This window comes from Homo sapiens, chromosome 16 (genome assembly GCF_000001405.40).
Source record: "Homo sapiens chromosome 16, GRCh38.p14 Primary Assembly".
NCBI lineage: Eukaryota > Metazoa > Chordata > Mammalia > Primates > Hominidae > Homo > Homo sapiens.
The window spans coordinates 16,355,004-16,378,217 of record NC_000016.10 but is presented as its reverse complement, the minus strand read 5'-3'; the positions used below and the strand labels follow the sequence as shown (position 1 = coordinate 16,378,217).

General features: G+C 63.6%; 1 non-coding gene and 1 pseudogene across 1 annotated transcript, besides 4 other annotated features; both read right to left on the bottom strand.

Annotated features, from left to right (window-relative positions):
• PKD1P2 (polycystin 1, transient receptor potential channel interacting pseudogene 2) lies at window positions 711-21,801 on the bottom strand (annotated as a pseudogene).
• Window positions 2,631-3,132: an enhancer, noted in NCBI's record as "H3K27ac-H3K4me1 hESC enhancer chr16:16468943-16469444 (GRCh37/hg19 assembly coordinates)". NCBI's record gives its function as "activates a minimal SCP1, AML or CMV promoter by ChIP-STARR-seq in naive H9 embryonic stem cells {active_cell/tissue: H9 hESC(naive)}" and the evidence as "EXISTENCE:reporter gene assay evidence [ECO:0000049][PMID:30033119]".
• Window positions 6,573-7,473: an enhancer, noted in NCBI's record as "H3K27ac-H3K4me1 hESC enhancer chr16:16464602-16465502 (GRCh37/hg19 assembly coordinates)". NCBI's record gives its function as "activates a minimal SCP1, AML or CMV promoter by ChIP-STARR-seq in naive H9 embryonic stem cells {active_cell/tissue: H9 hESC(naive)}" and the evidence as "EXISTENCE:reporter gene assay evidence [ECO:0000049][PMID:30033119]".
• Window positions 8,445-9,357: an enhancer, noted in NCBI's record as "H3K27ac-H3K4me1 hESC enhancer chr16:16462718-16463630 (GRCh37/hg19 assembly coordinates)". NCBI's record gives its function as "activates a minimal SCP1, AML or CMV promoter by ChIP-STARR-seq in naive H9 embryonic stem cells {active_cell/tissue: H9 hESC(naive)}" and the evidence as "EXISTENCE:reporter gene assay evidence [ECO:0000049][PMID:30033119]".
• Window positions 9,276-9,342, bottom strand: MIR6511A3 (microRNA 6511a-3). The gene has a single exon (NR_106970.1). It is a non-coding gene; the product is annotated as a microRNA 6511a-3 (primary transcript).
• Window positions 16,321-17,018: an enhancer, noted in NCBI's record as "H3K27ac-H3K4me1 hESC enhancer chr16:16455057-16455754 (GRCh37/hg19 assembly coordinates)". NCBI's record gives its function as "activates a minimal SCP1, AML or CMV promoter by ChIP-STARR-seq in naive H9 embryonic stem cells {active_cell/tissue: H9 hESC(naive)}" and the evidence as "EXISTENCE:reporter gene assay evidence [ECO:0000049][PMID:30033119]".

Genomic DNA, 23,214 nt, shown 5'->3' with positions numbered 1-23,214 from the left:
GCACTTTGGGAGGCCGAGGTGGGCAGATCACAAGGTCAGGAGTTCCAGACCAGCCTGGCCAATATGGTGAAACCCTGTCTCTAATAAAATACAAAAATTAGCCGGGTGTGGTGGTGGGCACCTGTAGTCCCACCTACTTGGGAGGCTGAGGCAGGAGAACAGTTTGAACCCGGGAGGCAGAGTCTGCAGTGAGCCGAGATTACACCACTGCACTCCAGCCTAGACGACAGAGCGAGACTCTGTCTCAAAAACAGCAACAACTACAAACAAACAAAAAACAGGATTAACAAAACTATGGAATTCAATTCTATTTATATGCTGCAGCCATGTTCCAGCCCTAGATTTGGCTGGGCATGGTGGCTCACGCCTGTAATCCCAGCACTTTGGGAGGCTGAGGCAGGCGGATCACGAGGTTAGGAGTTCGAGACCAGCCTCACCAACATGCTGAAACCCCGTCTCTACCAAAAATACAAAAATTAGCCAGGCATGGTGGCACACGCCTGTAATCCCAGCTACTCAGGAGGCTGAGGCAGGACAATCCCTTGAACCCGGGAGGCGGAGGTTGCAGTGAGCCGAGATCGTACCATTGCACTCCAGCCTGGGTGACAGAATGGAATGAGACTCTGTCTCAAAAAAAAAAAAAAAAAAAAAGAAGCCCTAGATTTCGGTTGTGTTGGTTGTAAAAGGAGAGACCCAGTAAGTGGGGGTTGTGCCGCAGATTGCTACCCACAATGGACGGGTCACTGAGCAGGTCCGGCCAACTGGGCGTTCCCTCGCTGGAGGGCCAGCACACCAGACTGCAGGTGGCGCGGGTCAGCAAGGTACCAGGGGATGTGTCACACACACAGCCCACCCCCGTCCAGTCACGCACGGACACCCTGGGCTTCCGAGCAAACCTGCTCCCACGTGGTGTGACCACATGGAGCCACAGACACCCAGCAAGGACACGCAGCCCGCACACCCCCGGTACTCCAGACACAGTGACCTGCACCAGGGCTCGAGGTTTCTCTAGGGAACCCACCTCTTAGAATCATCCAGAAACAAGTCACTCTTCACCTGTCCAGCAAAGGCCTGCTGAGAGGTGCACAGTGTCTGGAGTCCAAGCTGCGCCAAGGCGGCAGGACCCCCAGCCCAGCCCAGGACCCCCAGTAGAGCCCTCACCTCAGCGTGGAGGCCTGAGAACGTGAGGAAGGAGCTGTCCAGCACGGACGAGTCCAGGCAGCTGTCGATGTCCAGCACCTACTGCCCGGCAGGTGTGGGGCTCAGGCTCCCAGCCACCTGCAGGACGACGGCAGTGGTCAGCGGGCGGCAGCTCAGACCTGCTCAGGACAGGGATGAGAAGCCACCTCCTCAGCAGACAGGACAGAGCCCGGTGCCATCTAACAGAATGTCCTAGAATGCTGGATATATGGGACATCTGCACCGTCCGTGATGGCAGCCCCTCGCGACATGTGCCACTGAACACTTGACAGCAGACTGGTGCAGCTAAGGAACAGAGTTTTGAATTTCATTTTTTTTTTTTTTTTAAGATGGAGTCTCGCTCTGTCACCCAGGCAGGAGTGCACTGGCGCAATCTCAGCTCACTGCAACCTCCACCTCCCGCGTTCAGGCGATTGTCCTGGCTCAGCCTCCTGAGTAGCTGGGATTACAGGTGCCTGCCACGATGCCCAGCTAATTTTTTGTATTTTTAGTAGAGACGGGGTTTCACTGTGTTGGCCAGGCTGGTCTTGGAACTCCTGACCTCAAGTGATCTGCCCGCCTCCGCCTCCCAAAGTGCTGGGATTACAGGTGTGAGCCACCACGCCCGGCCAACGTTCCATTTTAATTAACTTAAATACGAGCAGCCACATGTGGCCTCTGGTTCCTGCCACGGACTCGGGAGCAACCCCTCCTGGTCGCGGCTTATGCGCCTTCTCTGTGTGCTGCTGGGGTTAGTTTGCATGTAACCTCTTGAGGACCCCACGTGTGCATTCCTAAGGGGTGCGGCCTCCCGTTTCCGTATGAATGGGAAGAGTTCCCACCTGCTGTATTCTTGGAAAGAGTCTGTGAAGGATTGGTGTTAATTCTTCCTTAACTGCTTAGAAAAATTCTATCGTGAAGGCTCTGAGCCCAAGCTTTTCTTTGTGGGATTTTTTTTTTCTTTTTTTTGGAGATGGAGTCTTGCTCCATTGCCCAGGATGGAGTGCAGTGGCGCAATCTCGGCTCACTGCAAGCTCCGCCTCCTGGGTTCATGCCATTCTCCTGCCTCAGCCTCTCGAGTAGCTGGGACTACAGGCGCCCGCCACCATGCCCAGCTAAGTTTTTGTATTTGTAGTAGAGATGGGGTTTCATTGTGTTGGCCAGGCTGGTCTCGAACTCCTGACCTCAACTGATCTGCCCGCCTCGGCCTCCCAAAGTGTTGGGATTACAGGCGTGAGCCACCGTGCCTGGCCCTTTTTAATGTTTTATATAGATGGGGTCTTGCTATGTTGCCCAGGCTGGTCTCAAACTCCTGGACTCAGATCCGCCCACCTCGGCCTCCTGAAGTGTTGGGATTACAGGCGTGAGCCACCACACCCGGCCCGGCCACTGGGAGGTTTCTAAGGGACTAACTCGGCCTCTTCACTTGCTATAGATGTACTGAGATTTTCTTCTGGAGTGCATTTCGGAAGCGTGCACAGCCGCGTGCTTGCTTCTTCTGAGTTATCTGGCGTGCTGCTGTGCAGTTGTCCGTGGCGTCTGCTTAGCGAAGTGCCCTCGTTCTTTCACGATTCTGGCTTCTGAGTCTTCTCTCTTTCTCCCTGGTCAGTCTAGCTAAGGCTGCTCAAGTGTGTTGACCCTTCCCGAGCAGCCTTTGGTGGACGCCTTTCCCTCTGGCTGCAGCACTGGAAAGTGGCGGCCCTGGGCATGGTGCCGAGGCCCAGGCTCCATTCCCAGTACTCCCGGGTCCCCAGCCCCAGCCCACCTTGCTCCGGGACATCCGGAAGAGAAAGAGGATGGCCAGGTAGACGGGATAGACAACCACGCTGGACACCAGGCCAACAGCGACTGTGTCGACGCTCAGCGGGCTCAGCCTGGACACATGCCCCGTGCTGTGTGGAGGAGAGGAGGCCACACAGGTGAGGCTGAGGGGCAGGAAGGGCTGGGCAGGAAGAGGCTGTCCCGACCCCTACGGCACCCACCTGTAGGCAGAGTCACCAACAGCCCCGTACCACACGGCGTTGGCGCCCAGGAAGAGGCAGATGAGGAGAACGCAGCAGGTGGCCCTCTGGATGCGAGTGAAACAGCTACGAGGTGGCCGGTCCCATATGGAGAGCCAGATGTGCTTGTCAAAGAAGCCACGCTGCAGCTCAGCCACCAGCAGGCGCCGGAAGCGCAACAGGGCTGCGTGACCTAGAAGGCAGGGAGGGCCGCACTGCAGGAGGCCACGGGGCAGGACCACCCTGCCCAACCTCCCACGGAGTGGGAACATGGAACGAGGCCTTACTCGCAGCCAGCACCTCCTTCTCCACCAGGCCCCCGTTGGCCTCCGTCTCCACCGAAAGCCAGTCATTGACCAGGAAGAAGGTGCTGCGTGCCGTCTGCAGGTCCCTGACGATGATGTGCTGCAGGAACCAGGCAGGGCTGAGCCCTGCAGAGGCGCGGGAGGGAGGTCAGGCTCGCAGGGCGCCCCAATGCGGGGGCAGAGGGGCAGAGCTTGGCAGGGTCCGCACAGACCTTTGTTGTCGTGCCACACTCGGATCTTCCACACGCTACCCAGGCTGTGCGGGGTGGCGATCCGGAAGATGTCCAGACTGTTGCGGTGGAAGGCTCTGTCGCCGTCCAGGTGCCGGTGGCCACTCCGGCTGTCCACCCCATACAGCATGATGCCCACGTGGGCCGTGGTACCTGGAGGGCAAGAGGGAGGGGTGGGAGGCTCGGTCTGCTGCCCAACACGTGTGGCATCCCAGGCAAGTCATCTCAGCTTTGGCCTCCGCGCACTCAAGGAGCCACACAGGCAGTCCCGGCTTTGCACGGCTCTGCCATACACGAGGAGCTGCGGTTACTGCAATTTGTCCAATAAACAGCAGGACCTCAAGGACATGATTAAGTTACACGGAAAGAACTGTAACTTGTGACATGCAAACATGGCTGCACACGCCTCAGTCCACACCACAACCAGTGACCCGCGCTGCACACCTGTCCACGCCTCAGTCACGCCACAACCAGTGACCCGCACCACACACCCGTCCCTCAGTTCATGCACAGACTGCGAAGCGTGAAGCTGTGTCACCTCCTCTCCCAGTGACAGACCCAGGTGACAGTATTTTTTTTCTTTTTTTTTTTGAGATGGAGTCTTGCTGTGTCACCCAGGCTGGAGTGCAGTGGCGCAATCTCAGCTCACTGCAAGCTCCGCCTCCCGGGCTCACGCCATTCTCCTGCCTCAGTCTCCCGAGGAGCTGGGACTACAGGTGCCTGCCACCACGCCGGGCTAATTTTTTTGTATTTTTTAGTAGAGACAGGGTTTCACCGTTAGCCAGGATGGTCTCGGTCTCCTGACCCCGTGATTTGCCTGCCTCGGCCTCCCAAAGTGCTCGGATTACAGGTGTGAGCCACCGCGCCCGGCCGACAGTTTTTAAAAGTAGGTAATCAAAAGAACTGGGAAATGAAGATGAAAGCAACACGGAAATAAAAAATGGGAACACAGCCAGGTGTGGTGGCTCACACCTGTCATCCCAGCACTCTGGCAGGCCGAGGCAGGCGGATCACCTGAGGTCAGGAGTTCGCCTGGCTGACATGGTGAAAAATTAACTGGGTGTGGTGGCGTGCACCTGTACTCCCAGCTACTCAGGAGAATCGCTTAAGGGGAATCGCTTAAACCCAGGAGCTGGAAGTTGCTGTGAGCCAAGATCACGCCATTGCACTCCAGCCTGGGCAACAGAGTGAGACTCCGTCTCCAAAAAAAGAAAAATGAAAACAAAAAGGGAATGCCAGAAGGGCAATTCCAATAAAGGAAAATGGAGGTATTGAAGAAACAGCCACGGGGAGGGTGCTGGCACCTCCGTCTGAGAGACGAGCTATGCAGTCAGGATCGCGGGTGGATGCATGGTCTCCCACAGTGGTAGCGATGCTCATGTCACTTGTGGGGCCACGCTACTGTGCAGAACGTGGGCTGCCCACCCTGACTGACTGGCACCTACTTCCAGCTAGGAGCTGTCCTAGTCCTCAGGGACAGTGAGTGCTCACGAGGTCATTCCCAGGATGAACACACGAGCCCTTCACACAGCACTGCAAAAACTGCCTTGTTCTGACGCCTGCGACGAGACTCACTCCCAGAGGGTGCAACCAGCACAGCCAGTGAGAGCAGGGGAGGCCCTGCCACCCCGCCGCGCCCCTCACCTGAGCCCCGGCCCCAGCCTGTCTTGACGAGGATCTCGTACTTGAAGCGGCCCCGCTGCCCACAGAAGGGGATGGCGCAGCCCCGGCTGGCATCCAACTGGTCCAGCTTGTGCAGGATGGCGGCCATGACCATGTAGGTCACCAGGCACACAGCACATGTCAGCATGACGATGTAGTTTACATCCGCTGTCGGCTCCTGTGAAGACACAGCCGCCGGGCCCAGGAGGTCACGTGCAAGCTGTGCCTTCTCAGGATAGAGCCGAGCCCACCCAGGCCCTCCTCGACTCTGCAGAGGCTCCCAGGAGCACAGGGTCACTCACAGGAAACACAAAGCGTACATGGCTTGGGGGCATGAAGAGGCTGGTGCCGAAGGCGGTGAGGTGGCGGGTGAGGCAGACGGCCTGGCGGGGCGAGGTCTCCTCCAGGGGCAGCAGCCCCTCTGTCCGCCACACCACATCCTCCTCGCTGAAGTACTGGCACAGGGACGTGTACAAGCCCACGGACACCTCCAGCGCCGACCAGCGGAAGTGGCTGGAGAGGTTCAGACGGTAACTCCCCACTGGGTCTCTGGTCCTGGGAAGGGAAGGGGCAGTGGACGTGAGCCCAGGCTCCGCCAGGTTGGATGTCGGAGTCCCAGAGCCCATACCCGGTCCAGTCCCCTCGCTGCCTGCCGTCCCCACGGGGCCCGTAACCCGGGCAATGCTGACCCATGATGCCCTGCCCTGCCCTGCCAGGCCGGCCCACAGAGCTCACCCCGGGGAAATGAAGAAGGTGTAGGGCCGGTGGTCGGCACCCTGGAGGGACTCTGGGCGGATCCTCCTGCTAGCCGAGCAGTTGCGCTCATTGGGCCGGGGCTCCGAGTGCAGGTAGACTGCCAGGTAGGGCTCGGGTTCCTCAGACAGGTAGCGGCCTGGGGCAGAACGCGCAGGTCACACGCCTGCCGGGAAGCTCAACCACCCGGGGGACACCCACGATGGCCCTCCTGAGCCCACCCTCTGCCACGGGCCTGAAAGGCCATAGGAGCCTCTGCACCAGAGCTGGCACCTGCTTCTCCGTGGCCCCCAGCTCCTCTCCGGCCAGGCCCCCAACAGCCCATGAAACAGCAAATTTCACCAGAGACACCCATGGAAGCCCTACGAGAAACGCCTTCCCCCCAAGAACAAGGCCAGGGGGCCGCGTGTGCCCCACCCGCTGCACACACCGTCCAGCAGCGTATAGTTGAGCTGCAGATGCAGCACGGCCACAGGGTTGCTGCTGTCCAGGGTGACCACAGCACCGACGGAGGCCTGGGGCTGGACCACAACGGAGTTGGCGGAGCTGCAGTGGCCCCGGGCAGCCCAGTCCGAGTTGTTGGGCACCTTCACGGTGATGGCGCGCTCTGAGGCCAGCCGCTCGATGGGGATCTGGGCGCCGGCCTGTGTCTGGAACGCCATCGAGGCCACCTTGGTGGAGACGGTGTAGTTGCTGATATAGCCAAAGAGAAAGGGATTGGAGTCCACCAGAAAGACGAGCTGCACCACGTCACTGAGGTTGGCCGGGGCCCTGCTGAAAGCCTAGGGGATGGAGAGGTGGCAGCCAGGCCCTGGGGCGCCGCCATAGCACAGCAGGCTCCGCGGGTCCGAGCGCTTGCCCTGGGCCATGATCTCCTCGCCCGCCAGCGTCACGGGCTCCTCGTTGAGCACGCGGGAGCGCGTGAGGATGCGCATGAGGGCAGAGGTCAGGTTGTAGGCCTGGGACGCCACCATCCGCAATGGTGACTCGGCTCCCAGCTCTGAGCGCTGCGGTGCCCGCACGTCTGAGCTGGCCAGGTGGATGAGGTCTCCTGCAGACAGGCGTGAGGTCAGTGCAGAGACAGGGAGGCAGAGGGAGGGTGGGGGCAGGCAAAAAGGGGGAGCTGGAGGGTGGGGGCTGGGAGAAAGGGGGAACCTGAGGGGGCAGAGAGCGAGGTGCAGGCAGAAGGAAGGGGGAAGCTGGAGAGAGAGTGGTGGAGGGGGAGGGGGAAGGGGATGGGGATGAGGACGAAGATGAGGGGGATGATGGGGAGAGGGAGGAAAAAGGAAGGAAAAGGGTAGAGAAAAGAGAAAGGGGAGAAGAGGAGGAGCAGGGGGAAAGGGAGGGGAAGGGGGATAAGGGGGATAAGGGAGGGGAAGGAGGATAAGGGAGGGGAAGGAGGATAAGGGGGATAAGAAAGATGAGGGGAATGGACAAAAGGACGGGGAGGATCGGGGGGGAAATGGAGAAAAGGGGAGAGAGATGGAGAAAGGGGAGGGAAGGGGGAGGGGAGGGGAGAGTGGAGGGCACAGAGCAGCATCTTCTTAGTCCCTCCCCACATCTGGGCCCCTCTTTACACCCTGGGTCCCCCGAGAGGCACCCTGCGTTCACACAGGACAGCAGAAAGGCTGAGGCTACTGAAGCAGGTCAGAGACCGAGGAACGCCACGGCAGGAAGGAGCCCAGGCTGGAGGCTCAGCTCCTCGGCCAAGCTGCCCGTCTGCCCTGGGGGGCTGAACCCAGTACCCTGGCAGGCATGCGGGGCGGGGTGAGCATGTGGGGCCATCCTACCATGCACTGGGCCAGCGCAGCAGCGATCTGCTGGATGTCATCCACAGTGTGGACCCTCAGGGACACCAGAGTCTCCGTGATGTTCTTGCGTATCTGGGCTCGGCGCTGCCGCTCGTGCTTGGGCTCTGCCGCCACGTCCAGGGCCCGCTCGTACTGGGGCAGGCAGGGGGCACAGCAAGCTGTCAGCAGGGCAGGAGGCCGGCAGGAGGCCAGCAGATGCCCACGACTCCCGGGGTGCAGTTACGTGCTAGATGCTGTGTGATGTGGGCACTGACCCGCAACACTGAGCTGTTTCTTCATGGGCAAAACAGGGTAAGCACATGGGCCCTCCTGGGCGGGGGCTGCATTGTGGAAAGCAGACGCCGGAGAGGGCCCGGTGGGTGTGGCTGCTGGGAGCGGAACGTCGGGGTGCTGCTTCAGGGTCACTGGGATTTATCTCTGGGGCCCGGGATGAGCCCTCCGCAAAGCTCCAGGCAGGGGAACAGGTCTTGGTCCCCAGCACGCATGCAGCAGATGTGAGGTCCCCTCCCAGGCTGCACTCACCTCGTTCAGCACAGTGACCAGGGCCAGCGAGTACTCGATGACGTGCTGGGGATCGGCCTGCCGCAGCAGCCCCGGGAGCACACTAGCGGTGAGCCGGTGCAGCCAGACTGTGAGCCCCATTGCGCTGCCGTTGGGCTCTGGGAGGGTGATGGCCAGAGACCTACGAGCAGAGGGGGGTGGTGAGCAGGTGGCAGTCTCGGGGGCGCCCTCCCACGGCCTGGCTCACCTGTTGAGGGCGACCACAGCGGCTCCCAGCTGGTCCTGCACCACCACGGCCAGGCCCACCTCGAAGTGTGGCCTGAAACCCGGGGGCAGCACGGCTCCGTAGCCGGAGAGGCTGCTCTTGTAGACACAGAACTCTTTGCAGTGGCCCTGGCAACAGCGCTGCAGCAGCAGGGCATACACCAGCGGGGCGCCAGCATCCTCCGCGTCATGCCAGCCTGAGGGATGGTCCCCACAGCATCACGGGAGGGCTCCGTGACCTCACAGAGTCGGGGGATCCCGCTGCTCCCCCTACGCAGGCCTGCACTCACCCGTGCATTTGAAGTGCACCTTGGTGGTGAGGGCGTGCACAGCGCCCAGTGGGAAGAGGCAGCAAGAGCCCCCCAGCGGCGGGCGGTTGGGGGACAGGGGGATGGAGGCGCAGCCCTCCTCCTCGCCAGAGCGGCCCAGCACCGTCAGCGTGAAGGTGTATCCCTCGCCGTCCCGCAGCACGCCCCGCCGCAGCACCAGTCACATGCCTGCGCTGCCCGTGGATGTGGTGGTCTCATCCAGCACCAGCGTCTTGTTGCTGAACGTACGTGCAGCCCACCGCTGCAGGCAGAAGGGATGGTGAGGGGGCGCAACCCTCTGCCCTGTCAGCCCCACTTCTGCCTGCAGGCCCCGTCCCCTCGGCCATGGGACCCATCCCCAACCCGCCCACACCCCGCTCAACACTCACCCCTCGCTTGGAGCCGCTGCTGCAATTGAGGCAGCGGCCCTCCAGGTACACGTAGGAGCTGCGGCTCACTTCGTACACGGCCTGTGCCTTGCAGGACACACACTCCAAGGACACAATGGGCACCCGGCCACTGCGGATCAGCACCTGGCGTGGGAGTGGGGTTACCTCCAACACAGGTCTATTTGGCCTGCTGGAAGGTCTGGGGGACCCGTGGAGGATGCTGCTCCCAAACTCCAGGTTTCCCAGGGGCCTGGCCACTGCCGGTGAGCTCACCCCCTCCCAGGATACTCATCCGGTTTGCCACCTTCCAACCTGGGCGGCGGAAGGGCATACACAGGGCAGAGGACACTGGGGTGTGTGTTCTGGTGTACTGGAGCCAGCTGGACCCTGGCAGGAGGCAGGCAATGCTCACTGAGGGCCCCTGGGGGGATGCGTGTGGGAACAGACGTATGTGGGGGTGTGAGGACCGCAGTTGCCACGTAGGCCTGACTCACAGACTCCTGCAGCCCTTAGCCAGGGCCTGGGTCAGGAGGCTGAGCCGGGATGGAACCTGCTCCCACACCCTCCCCTCAGACGACCCCTCTGGGCAGACCCCCAATCAGGCCCGTTGAGGAAAGCAGGGACTGGGGAACAGACACCCACTCTGGGGCACCAGCAGGCCCCGCCTGACAGCAGCAGGAGCAGCCACCACGGGCTCAGGGTCACCAAGCCTCCTGGCCGGTCCAGAGTGGGGAGCATGAGGGTGAGAACCGGCCCACCACATCCAGCAACAGGGACATGGGCTGGGGACAGTGGCTGCCTCTGGGGTGGGAAGGGGCTCTTCCTCACTGTTGGTATTGCTGGGGGACTGTGTAGCTTTTGTCACTAGAGCATATGTGGCTTGAAGACTGTATGTGGAACTGTGGCAGGTTTGGAAGGAAGCAAAGCTGAAGCAGGCTGTCGTGTTACATAGAATTTGCATCAGAAACAGAGAGGGGAGAGCGCGCGGCCTCCACCAGCACTAAAACACGGAAAACAGTAGATGAGCAGGGAGGCTGGGCTGTCCAAGGCAAGTGGCCGAGGGGCGGGCGGCACCCACCGTCTGGTTGGTGGCCTCCTCCTTGTGGCCGGCCTTCCACACGGTGAGGCTGAAGGTGTACTCCACGCCAGCTGCCAGCCGTTCCCGTGGAATGGTGACCGTGCTGCTCCCGCGGGGCCCAAAGTTCAGCGCACACCCGCCAGCCTCCCTCTGCAGGCCGAGAACAAGGGGCGACGTGGCCCGAGAACCCCATCCAGTTTTAAAGCAGAGCCCGGCCCAGGAGACAGCGCGGGAGACCCCCTCCCCATGCTGGGACGGGGCCCACCAGGCACTGAGGACGGGCCAGCCCTGGTGGCAAGCTGGGTGTTCTCTGGGCTCATGGGTGTGGACGGGTGAGGGGCAGGGAGGACGGCCCTGCCACGCACTGACCTGTGTCGAAGCCACACAGGCCCACTGGAAACTGAGCGGCGTCTGGTCGCCGTCCTCCAGGTTGGGGTCGTAGGACTCGCTCCCATCCAGCACCAGGTCCTGTGTGTCTGACCACACGCGGTAGGAGCCACCCTCAGTGATGGGCACCAGGCGCTCGGGGGCCACCGTCACATTGGCCTGGATGCTCCGTGCCAGTGGCGTGTCCCCAAATGACACGACAAACACAAAGCAGTAGTGCCCCACAGGCAGCGCCAGCCGCGGCAGCACCAGCTGAGGCCGGCTCACGTCCACGCCGGGCAGGGCCACACGCGCCGGGCACCCCGGCCGCTGGCAGCTGGCGGTGCGGTACACCTCCCAGCGGTACTCAGTCTGGTAGGTGACACAGTCGCGCAGGTCAACGTAGGCATCCAGGCAGTTGCGCTGTGATCGTCGCATCAGCACCTGCAGGGGCAGGACCACGTCCACCTCCGGCTCCCGGCAGGCCAGCACCTGGACGGTCACCGTGGCCTGCGCCACGAAAAAGCTCACCAGGTTGGAGGCGTTCACCTGCACGCGGTAGTCCCCAGGCCTCAGGTAGGAGTGCTCGGCCCTGGGCTTATCTGTGTCCTGCCCTGGGGACCCATCCCCAAAGTCCCAGTGGTAGGCCACGCGCCGGGGGCTGGGGCTGGTGGCGGCCTCAAACTGCGCCAAGCGGTTGGTGAAGCAGGGGCCGCTCCGCAGGGCCACATACTGGACGGCGTCCTGAACCTCCAGCACCAGCGTGCGGTTCTCACTGCCCAGGGCGTTGAAGGCACGCACCTGGATCTCCAACAGCCCCGCGGCCACGGCGTGTAGGTGACGTCGCGGCCCGACAGGATGAACAGAGAGTCGCCCCGGACCTTCTGCAGCGAGAAGTACCAGGCGTAGGCGACCCGAGAGCCGCGCTGCACGCGGGCTGTGAAGTTCCTCTCAGTGCCCATGGCGATGCCAGGCTCACAGCAGTTGGGCACCTGCAGCCCGCTCACGGCCTCCAGCACCACGATGCGCACCTGCGCCTGGGCCCAGCTCACGTGGTTTTTGCCCTGCACGCTCACCACGTGGTCTCCGATGCGGGGGAAGCTGTGGGAGAAACGGGGCCCAGGGAGCACTTCGGGGCTGGCCCCGCCGACCTGCAGGCGGAAGGTGACAGCTGAGCCGGCAGCCAGCAGGATCTGAAAATGGACAAGCTGCCCGGGCGCCACCACCTTGCTGCTGGCCCACAGCACCAGGCCCACGATGGGCTCCTCCACCGTGAGGTTGTACGTGGCTGAGACCCAGCTGACTGCGTTGGAGGCATTGAGCCGGATGTTGAAGGTGCCAGCATCCGGGAAGACCATGGTGACATGAGGGCCACGCTTGCTGCTGCCGCCGGGCACAGCCCAGCACCAGCTCACATTGGTGCCCGTGGCCAGCTGCCCCCAAAAGGGCACAGAGGACCCGGCCGCCACGAAGCTGCCTCCCGGCTCGCTGGCCCTGATGCTGAGGCCACTCACAGGCACCTGCACATCCACTTCCACGGTGGCGTTGGCTGAGCCCAGCGGGTTCCCTGCCGTCATGGTGACCAAGTGCAGGCCGGGTGTGGGGAAGCTGTGGGTGGTAAATGGCTCGGGGGTCTCCCAGCTCAGCCCCTCCTCCAAGGACCAAGTGTATACGACACCACTGCCACCAGCCAGCTCGGCACTGAGGGTGACACTTGTGTTGACGGCAGCTGGGTTCGGGGAGGCGGCCACCATCAGCCACCCCACAGGCTCCACGAAGTCCACGGTGCAGTCAGCCCAGGCGCTGCCCAGCATGTTGGTGGCCCGCAGCTGCACATGGTAGGTGCCGGCCTCGAGCGCAGTGAGCGAGAAGCCTTTGCCGCTGCCGGCCAGGGCCGGGCCCCTGTCCCTCCAGGCAGTCCAGCTGTAGATGTTGGTGCCATCCCTGACCACGGCCTGCAGCTGTACCGTGTGGTTGGTGGGGAAGTAGCGGCCACCGCCCACCACCTGCAGCCCCTCTATGAGCTGCAGGACATAGACGAAGATGCTGTCCTGGGCGGAGCCCACCTCGTTCTCAGCTGTGACGATGATATTGAAGGTGCCCACGGAGCGGAAGGTGTAAAGAGATGGCAGGACCCCCAGAGATGGGCGTGCAGCGGTCACAGAGCACCCAGGAATAGCGCACATCACTGCCGGCCTCCAGCGAGGTGCTGAAGCTCATGCTCCCATTCAGGGGCACCACCGTGCAGCTGGCATTGACGATGAGCCCCCGCACGCGCCGCTTCACCGTCACATTGAGCCAGGCCTCGCTGCGGCTCACCTCATTGCAGCCGGCCACCCTAACGGTGAAGTCACCTGTGCTGTTGTAAGCGTGGGTGACCTCCGGACCCTCGAGCCGCCCACCGTCCCCCAGATCCCACAGGTAGCTGGCGGGGCGCCCACGGCCCACAGCAGAGAACAGGTACGGCTACTGCAGCTCCAGCCCAAGGGAGCCATTGACCTTGATGCTGGTGACCAGCACGGGCTCCTGCACCTCCACCAGGGCTGAGTCATTGGCAGCGGAGATGTTGTTGGACGCGGTGACTGTCACAAGATAGGAGCCTGGGTCTCGGTAGATGAACGTCACCTCAGGGCCCCCGACACGGGCGGGGACGGCTTCTTCGGTGCCAAAGTCCCAGGTGTAGCGGTAGGGGAACGGGGGCCAGGCACATGCCACCAGCCGGGCCTCGTCCCCGAGCTGCACAAACTGCCTCTCTGGCTGCAGGGTGACGTTGCCCACCTCTGGCTCCACGCAGATGCTGGTGAAGTAACGCGCCCTGTTCACGCGGCTGGACAGCACCAGCGCCAGGGGGAACGTGCCGCTACGCGTGAAGTTGTGTGTCACCGTCGGGCACCCCCGCATGGTCGTGTTGGAGGAGCCATCCCCAAAGGTCCAGTCGAAGAGGTAGCGGGCCGGGTTCCCGGTGACGTAGGCCGTGAGCCGCGCGTCAGGCTGAGTGGGGATGCAGGCGGCGGGCTCGACGCGCAGCACCTCCAGGACGAAGACCAGCACGTGCAGGCTCCGGGCCAGGTGGCCGGCGGGGCTGGCCGCACCCACGGTCACTGTGCAGTTCTGTGCCCGCAGGTACACATGCTCCACTGTGGCCTCTGGGCCCGACAGCACGGTGCCGTCCCCCATGTCGAAGGTCCACGTGATGTTGTCGCCCGTCTGCACCGCGGCACTGACCACCACGGGGGCGCCCTGCTCCACGGCCAGGCTCATGTCCACGCTGAGCCCGCGGAGCTCCTCAAAGACGCGCACATCCGCCTGGGCCGCCGCACCGCTCACCGTGTTGTTGACCTCCAGGCGCACGTGGTAGATGCCCCTCGAGGGATAGGTGTGGTTGGCAGCCGGCTGGCTCTGGGTCAGGACAGGGGAGCCGTCCCCGAAGTCCCACGTGTAAAGAACACCCCCAGGCGAGGGCAGCAGATGCGGGTAGAAGGTGACGGGCCGGCCGGCCACCAGGACGCCGTCACTCACACCCACAGCCTCGGAGGGCAGGGAGGCGCGCACGCTCACAGGCACCTGCTGCGTCCGGTTCTCGAAGGCATTAGATGCCAGCACGGTCAGGACGTACTCACCTGTGGGGACAGGCCCAAGTGGGGCAGCCGCGGCACCCCCACCTGCTCCCCACCCGCTCGGCAGAAGCCCCCCGCCTGAGGAGCCCGGGGTGAACGGCTGCACCTGCGGCCCAGCCTTAAGGGTCCCAGGCTCCCAAGCCACGTGCGGGACGGAGCACAGGTGCAGCAGCACTGAGGGCTGCCTGGTGAGGACGGCACCGCCTCCAAGTGCAGCTGCACTCGGGGCAGCAGAGCAGCAAGAGCCAGGCCGCGGCGGGGGGCAGTTCAGGGGGCCCAGCTTCCCTGTCCACTCCCCCCACGCCTGGCCCCTCCCTCACCCCAGTAGGGACCTAAGCCATCAGCCCAGGTGAGGTCACAGTGAGGGCTGTTGGGGAGGAAGGGGGGCAGCTTGACTGGGGGACTGGGGGTGCCCCGTGCTCAGAGCCTGAAAGGCAGTGGCCCCCTCACCCCCTCATCCCTCACCTGGGGCAGCGTAGGTGTGCGTGACATTGTGCTCCACCAGCACCTGGGCCACCGAGGGGTCTGGAACCGGGAAGGACTCGTTGTACGGAGGCTGGAACTGGTGGAGGGCCTGCTCCCCATCCCCAAAGGTCCACCTGCCGGGGCGGTGGGAGGCAGTGAGTGAACCGGGACAGGGGTGCGCAGTGGCGGGGCACAGGTGCGCGGTGGGGGGGCAGGGGGTGCTTGGGACCCAGCTGAGGCTCCACTCTGCAGTCACGCCCCAGGCCTCCATTCAGGGCCCACCCGGCTGTGCTGAGGCCTCTCCCGGCTCCCGTGCAGCCTCAGGGCTCCTGTGCACCCAGTACCTCCCAACAGATAGGGAAACCGAGGCTCAGAAAAGCAACCCCCTGATGTGGGGTCCCTCGGCTGAGGCTGGGGCCGGGACAAGAGCCTGGTGCCCACCCCAAACCGGCCCCCGAGTCACTCACAGGAAGGCCACCTCCACGGCCGAGTCCACCAGCACGCCCGCCGTCAGTGCCAGCGTGGCATTGGGGGACAGCACGGCCGGCACTGTGGAGACCCGCAGGCCCTGCATCCTGTTCATCCGCTCCACGGTGATGTTGTAGTTCACGGTGACGTTGCTCACGTGGTTGGAGGCCGTCAGCTGCAGGGATAGGCATCAGTGGGCCCAGGTGGCAGGTGAGAGGCCTGGCCCTGCTTAGCGTCCCTCCCTCCACTCACCCACAGCCATGGCAGCGTCCTCGGGCAGCATGAAGCAGAGGTGAAGGTGGAGCCCGCCCCGCCCCACCCCATCCCCTCCCCTCCCCACCCCCGCCCACCTACTGAGAGCTTGAAGACCGCCGCGCTCTGATAAATGACATTGAAGACCACGTTCTGGAAGGTCAGGGACTGCTTGTCGTTGATGGTCCACCGGAAGACCATGTCCGAGCCGGCCTCCACCACGGGGCTGTACCTCTGCGGGGGGACTGGTGTCAGCCTGGGCTCTGTGGAGGACTCTGCCCTTAGCCTGTCGCCTCCTGGACACACCTCCCGTCAGGCTGGAGAGTCCCACGCGGGGCACAGAGGAGAGGAGGTGGCCGGGGCTCTGCATGCCATGGGAGCCAAGCCCGGGCTGGGACACTGACTGTCCGGCTCTCCAGCCAGCCATGTAGTACTACTAATGCCTCAACCTCTCTGTGCCTCAGTTTCCCCATCTGTAAAGCAAACCTAGTACCAGCTACAAAGAGTCCACCTCTCTCTGAGTCTTCTCAGACCCTCCCGGGGCTCCTGCCCCAGCTCCTCAGCCAGAGAGCTCGGAGCAGTGAGGGGAGGCACACGGGCCTCACAGGGACAGCACCTACACTGGCTTACAGAACCCAGGACAGGCTGCACAGGTCACGCCATTTCTGATGGCCCCTCCCAAGGCCCCTGGTGAAGGGGCAGGTACCCGCAAGACGGAGACAGCCCTGTCCCCCATGTACCCAGCATGGTGGCACCGCGGGCAGCCCGCAGTTTCCCATCAGGGGTTCAGACTCCACCTCAAAAGCCACTCGCTTTAGCCAGGTGAGAACACAGCAGAGGGCGTGAGAGACTCACGGGGGCTCGTGTGAGGTCAGGGAGCAGAGTTTTAAATTCATTTCATGAAATGAGACGGTGGAATGAGTTAGCGGAGCCGCTGTCAGAGCCGTGACTTTCCAGGAATTTAAAGCCCACCAGGTAGCCTGAGGAGCCAGCCAGCAGGACCTGCCCGGGGCCGACGTCCCCAGTAACTGGGCTGCTGCCCTCACTGGGAAGCCAGGCCTCACGCCCTGTGTGAGCACCCTGTCTGCAGGCACCTGCCTGGGGGCTGGTGGTGGAGCCTCGGCCATACTCACCACTGGGACTCCCTGCAGTACACGGGCCTCGGGGCTGGGCGTGGCGCGGAGGCCACAGATGGGCTCCTCCGCCGTCACCCGCAGGCTGAGGTTGGCCCGGCTGGCGCTGTTTTCCACCACAACGTCCATCACGTGCTCCCCCTCACCGAGCCACGGCAGTGCTACCACTGAGAACAGGGTATCATTGGTCTCCCAGGGGCAGCCGGGCACGAAGGTGGCCACCAGGGCAGGGCAGGCATTCTCAAAGCGGGCGCTGACACTGCCCCCAGGCCAGCGAGCCGTGGCCGTGGCGCTGGCACCAGAGTCCACCTGGAGCACCGAGGCTGAGCCGTTGGTGGGCACGTAGAGGCGGCCGTCGCGGGGGGCAGGGTAGATGACCCGCAGCCCAGCCACTGGGGAGACCACGTCAAAGCTGCAGGACAGGTTGTGCCTGGACACGCCATTGCCCACCTCTGCCCGGACCTCATAGCGCCCAGGCAGCCGCAGCCCAGGGTTGGGCCTCAGGCCCAGCAGCACGGTGAGCTGTTCCGTGGCTGCAAGCAGCCGCAGGGCACAGGCAGGGCAGGCCCAAGTGCCCTCCAGCTGGGCTGGCAAGTGGGGCAGCCATGACGAGGCGTTGGCGGAGAGGTACGGGGCCTGGGGACCAGGGTGGCCGGGAGCCGGCGAGCAGTGCGGGAGGGCGCCAGGGCCAGCGTCGTGCTGCAAGCCAACGAGGTCACCAGGGAGCATGAGGACATCCTGGCCGTGGAGGGTGACCTGTGGAGAGGGAGGCAGGGCTGCATCACGTCCTCACGGTCATGGCCCGTGGACCCCTGCACGACGGATGAGGGTGGACACGCAGGGCTCCCCGCTTCGTCAGCCACACCTCAGGGAGCCTCCCCACAGTGCTCGTGACAAGGACAGGCAGGACAGTTGCAGACAGGGGGACACACGGGGAGAGGACACAGGCCAAGACCTGGCAGACAGGAAGGAGCGGCTGTGCTGGGAGAGAGGAAGAGGAGGCACAGCTCGTGCCAAGGGCCCAGGCGAGAGCTTCTCCCACTGGGAGAGGGGCAAGGGCACTGCAGAGGTCGGAGGTTGGAGGTCGGAGGTCGGAGGTCAGAGGTGGCAAGGACGTGGGAGGGGCCTGCAGGCTGGGTGTGTCTGCTGCGCAGACCCAGACCCTGGGCAGCAGACAGGAAGGTGGCCTGAGGAGATGCAGGGAACAGACCCAGGTCAGGGCCACACACCGAGTACTGCGCGGGGGGCCCCGCGGGAACGGAGAAGAGGAACTCTCTCCATAGCGCATAGGGGGCCCCGAGTAGCCCTGGCCCCTGACGTGCAGCCATTGGCGCAGGCCTGGGGTGGCAGGAGGCGTCCAGCGGCAAGCAGATGTTGGCTCCAGGGCACCAGCGTCCCCCTGGCATGCACGCGGGGGCCAGCTGGGTCCTGTTGTCCGGGGACCTGCTCTCAGGCTCGCTGCCGTTCTCCGGGGTCCCTGCGAGGAGGGGAGGGTGTTGGGGCCCTCATTCGCCCACGGGCCACCGTCAGAGATGCCCAACTGCCTGCACCAGCGAGCCTGGCCTTGCTGTGAGGACAGGTCTCCCCGCCCGGGCAGCACTCCCAGCCCAGTGCTGCGTCCCTGTCTCCGGCCAGCTGACTGACCCAGGCCGGTCCCCAGGCAGGCCCCACCCGATCCACCCCCAGGACACCTGGAATGAGCTGGTGTCTCTGGAACCCCTGCTCTGTCCACCTAAGACTGGGAACCACTCTGATGGCCACAGGACCAGCAGACGTGAGAGCTCAGAGAGGCCACCCCGAGTCCTGCGGCGCCCACCACCCCAGAGTCCCACCTGCTGTGCTGAGGAGCCGGTACACCTGCAGCCGCAGCTGGGCGGGCCGCCGGAGCTCCTGGGTCCCAAATTCGGCCGTGGTGAGGAAGGCTTCACGGCTCAGACGCAGGCCCGGGAATACCATGACCTGGTGGGCAGGGGGCCGCCTCAGCTCCACAGACCCCATCCCAGCCTGAAGCCCAGACTCCCCCCACCCGAACTTCGCAGGAAGAGGGGAGGGAAGGAGAGCGAGCCATCGGACCCCCACAGGCCTGGCTCCTGTCGCTCGAGAGGAAGACTCCGATGGAAACTGTCCATGGGGGGCAGGACCCCTGACCTGCCTTTCAGGAATAACTCACCCACACTCAGAGAAAAGGGGGTAATGTGAGTAAACGCTTTCCTCTCTGCACTCTGGATTTTCCCAACCATCTTCACTGGGCACAAGCAACATTAAGGCCCCCAAGTTTTTTGGGGAGACCCACAGTGGGCAGGGCAGGCGAGGCCTCCAGGGGCAGGCAGGAGGGCAGGTTTTAGAACGTGGGGGGCCGACTACCTCCACGGGCTCATGCGGGGCTGAGAGGCCGTACTGCCGTGCCAGAGGCATCAGGGGTCCCTGCAGGTCCCCACTGGGCGCTCCCACGAGGAGGTTCTCGGCATCCTGCACTGGGCCTGGGGTGGCAAGTGCACAGTGAGGCGCCGGGCCAGGGCCCAGGACACCAGGACGAACAGACTGGGGACCGAGCCGCCCGAGAACCCCCCCACCAGCCCCTCCTCCTCAGCCCAGGCTCCACCGCGGGCGCTCGGCAGGCCCCTAACCACAGCCAGCGTCTCAGGCCCCTGCCTGGCCCCTCGCACACCTCCAGGCCGCAGCTCGCAGACGTAGCTGTGCAGCGCTGAGCACAGGTCGGTGTTACACCACCCGGTGGGCCCGAGCCGGACGCAGTGCTCGGCTGTGGCTGGGTGTGGCTCCCCGGGCAGCCAGTTCTGGCAGCTCTCCAGGCTGAAGGCCTCGCCCTGCGGCGCTGGGCCCACCTCCACCCCCTGCACAGTCGAGAAGCCGATCCACATGTCTAGGCTCCTGGGGGCGGGTGTGGGATGGCAGGGGGCTCAGGGCACTCCTCCATCCTCCCACCCTCACAGCAGCCCACTGGGAGCCCCGTCACTGTCCCCCTTTCCAGATGGGGAAACTGAGGCTCAGAGCCCGGAGAGCAGGGCCCACCAGCCCAGGCTCACAGCAGCACCCACCCACGAGGCCTGTGGGCACTGGCAGGGATCCCCGTGCAGGCCACCTCCCGTATGGCGTGCCCAGGAGTGTCCGGAGGCTGCCCCCAGCTCGTGTCCACCTCTGCATCTGCAGAGCTGACAGGAACGGCCCCACCGGCCGGCGCCACCTGCTCACCAGGGCCGGCCCAGCTCCCACCTCCCTCCTCCTGAGACTCCCCAGCCACAGGCTCTGCCCCACTGCTTCAGAGATCTCCCAACCTATGGCCCCTCGGGGGGTGGGGGCAGGCACCTGGTGACCCGGGAGACCAGGAAGCGCTGCACGGCGGGACTGTCCACCATTGCCAGGGCGGCCCCGGCCCAGGCCCGACACTGCTCCTGCGCCTGCAGCCAGGCCGCCTTCTCCACCACCAGGCGGTAGCAGTGCCCGTTGCCAGAGAAGATCTCCGTGTCCGAGGGGCAGAGCGGGTGCACCGCTGGAGACCGGTGGGAACGAGGGTGTCAACGGTCAGTGTGGGCCCAAGACGGGGGTACCAGGCTCTGCCCCATCTGGATGGCCCTGGGGAGGAAGGGGAGTGGGCAGCAGACACTCACCTCGGGCCGGCTCCTCGCCCAGGGCCACGATGCTGTAGGCGGCCTCCAGGCCTGAACCAACACGGTTCTGGATGCTGAGGTCGAGGCTCTCGTCACTCTGCACCGAGGACGGGCACACGAGCTCCAGGGCGGCAGGTGCCGCTTCCACCTGCACGTCTGTCCCCAGCAGGGCTGAGCCGGCCCCCAGGGCCAGCACGGCCGTCACGTGATAGCGCCCAGGCAGCACATAGCGATGCGAGGCAGCCGGCCCAGCGGCATCCACCTCGGGGGAGCCGTCTCCGAAGTCCCAGCGTGTGGCAGTGACAGGGAGCGGGGCAGCGATGTGGAAGGCTGCTAGCTGGCCGGAGGCCAGGGGTCCGTGGGGCCCCACCAGGGTGGCCCCTGGGGAGGCAGGGAAGACGTGCTGGAGGAGGGTGGGGCCCCTACAGGTGGGGGCAGGAGGCGGCGGGGGGCCGGAGCAGAGGGACAGGCAGGCGAAGGAGGCACTGGAGGGCTGGGCTGACCCACACAGGCACCAGCCCTGCTCGGAGAGGGCTGCGAGGCCCTGGCCGGTGGAGAAGCAGAAGGCGCTGCAGGCCTCTGGCTGAAGCAGGCCTTCGTGGGCAGCTGAAAAGGACACTGCTGCCACGGTGCCTGAGCTGTTGTCAGGGAGGCAGGCGACATACTCCTCACCTAGAAGAGGCAGCCACTGGACCCCGGGTTCTGCTCCTCCTGGCTCCACCCCACACCCCCCCATCCGCCCGCCGCACTCACAGGCTCCCATGCTGTTCCCTTGGCCCGGAGGCCCCCCCCAGAGAGGCCTTCCTGAGCCCTGCCCAGTGTCTGCAGGGCCCAGGTCCCACCTGGCTGGGAAGGACAGAGCTGCCCCACCCACCGGCACTCACCACAGCCACTGTCCAGCAAGGGGATGCCAAGCAGAGGCTGGCCAGCCAGGGAGCCAGGCCCAGCACACGTGGCTGCCTCGGGCTGCACCACCCGCACCTGCTGCTCCTCCGCCCATCGCGGCAGCCACGCCAGGCCACAGTCACACTCAAACGGGTTCCCACTCAGGTTTCTGCGGGGCAGGGGCAGGTGTTGGGGACCAGGTCTGGTGGGAAGGGTCTATGCCAGCCCCCCACTGGCAACCAGGCCCTGGAGCCACCCTGACAGCACCGCCTCCCCTGCCCCAACCAAGCCGGCACTGGGGGGCTCCAAGCAGGTAGTGAACTGCCCCCAGGATCTGGTCTCAAGCCTGGAAGGGGACACGGACCAACTGGGAGGGCAGAAGGGATACTGGGGGCCTGGGGTCCAGCCAGGACCCCACCCAAAGAACCACAACTTACATTTCACTTAAATTAAATAAATTAGCAAATATTCCTTCTTCTAACGTAGAAATCTTGTTGTTGCTTATATCCCTGGAAGAGAGGGGGGATTCGGCAAAGCTGACGGAAGCCCCCACAGCTGAGCAGCAAGAGGCGGTGCCGCCAGCCCACCCGGAGTGAGCCCCGCATGCTGGCACGACTGGGGGACACTCACAGCTCTGCCAGTGCCGAGAGGTTCGCCAGGAGCCCAACGTCCAGCGCCCGGAGCAGGTTGTGGGAGACGTCTCTGAGGAGTGAGTGGCCGTGGGTCAGGGCCAGAGCCCTTAGTAGGCCAGAGGCCATCCCTGGGCCCATCCCACACATTTCCAGCATCCCCAAGCTAAGGCCTCCCACCCTTGAGCTCCCCACTCCCAGAGGTCAGGAGGGGCCTTTCTGATGGAAGACCCAAATGAACACTCATCTGGGGAAACCAAGCCAGGAGAGGCCTGGGGGCCTCAGCCCTCTGCACCCATCTCAGCCCTATGCCGAGTGCCACCTGGACCTGTCCACCCAGGGCCAGGAAGGGCACGGACCCCCAACCCATCCCACGCAGGGCCAAGGCCCCCCATCCCCTGTCCACAGTCCCCCACAGAGCCAAGGTCTCCCAACCCTGTCCACAGCCCCCACACAGACTCGAGGGGCCCCCATCTCCTGTTCTGAACCCAACAGGGTGGTCCCACTGTGGGACCACAACCAGGTATGACTGTGTGAGAAGCAGGCTCACTACCAGGCTACCAGGGAGCACAGGGGAGCAGGCGCCACCTTGAGGCATAAACCCAGAGAAACAAGACCTCCAAGACGGCCAGGCACTGGGGCACACGCCGGTAACACAGCACCGTGGGAGCTGAGACGGAAGGATCGCCTGGGCCCAGGATTTTGAAACCACCCTGGGCAACACAGTGAGACCCCGTATCTACAAAAAAATACACATTAGCCAGGCATGGCGGCATGCGCCTGTGGTCCCAAGTACTCGGGAGGTAGAGGAGAGAAAAATCACTTGAGCCCAGAGAGGTCAAGGCTACAGGGAGCTAAGATCGCATCACTGTACTCCAGCTGGGGTGAAACGGCGAGACTCTACCTCAAAAATAAATAAATACATACATAATTAATAAATAAAACATCAAAGACCAGCCGACCTAACTCCATCTAAAATACACAACTTCTACGCAAAATATAAATAAAATTAGAAAACAAACTACAATCTCAGAAAAGCACTAGCAACTTAGACGACATACTAAAGGCCAAAAATACCCTCCTGACACACAGCTAATAAAGAAAAAGTCAACTATTCCAGTTAAAAAGAAGAAAAGGAAACTGGCTGTGGTGGCTTATGCCTGTAATCCCAGTGCTTTGGGAAGGCCAGGAGTTTGAGACCAGGATGGACAGCATAGCAAGACCCCATCTCTACAAGGAAAAAAAGAATCAGCCAGGCATGGTGGTGTGGAGCTGTAGTTCCAACTACTCGGG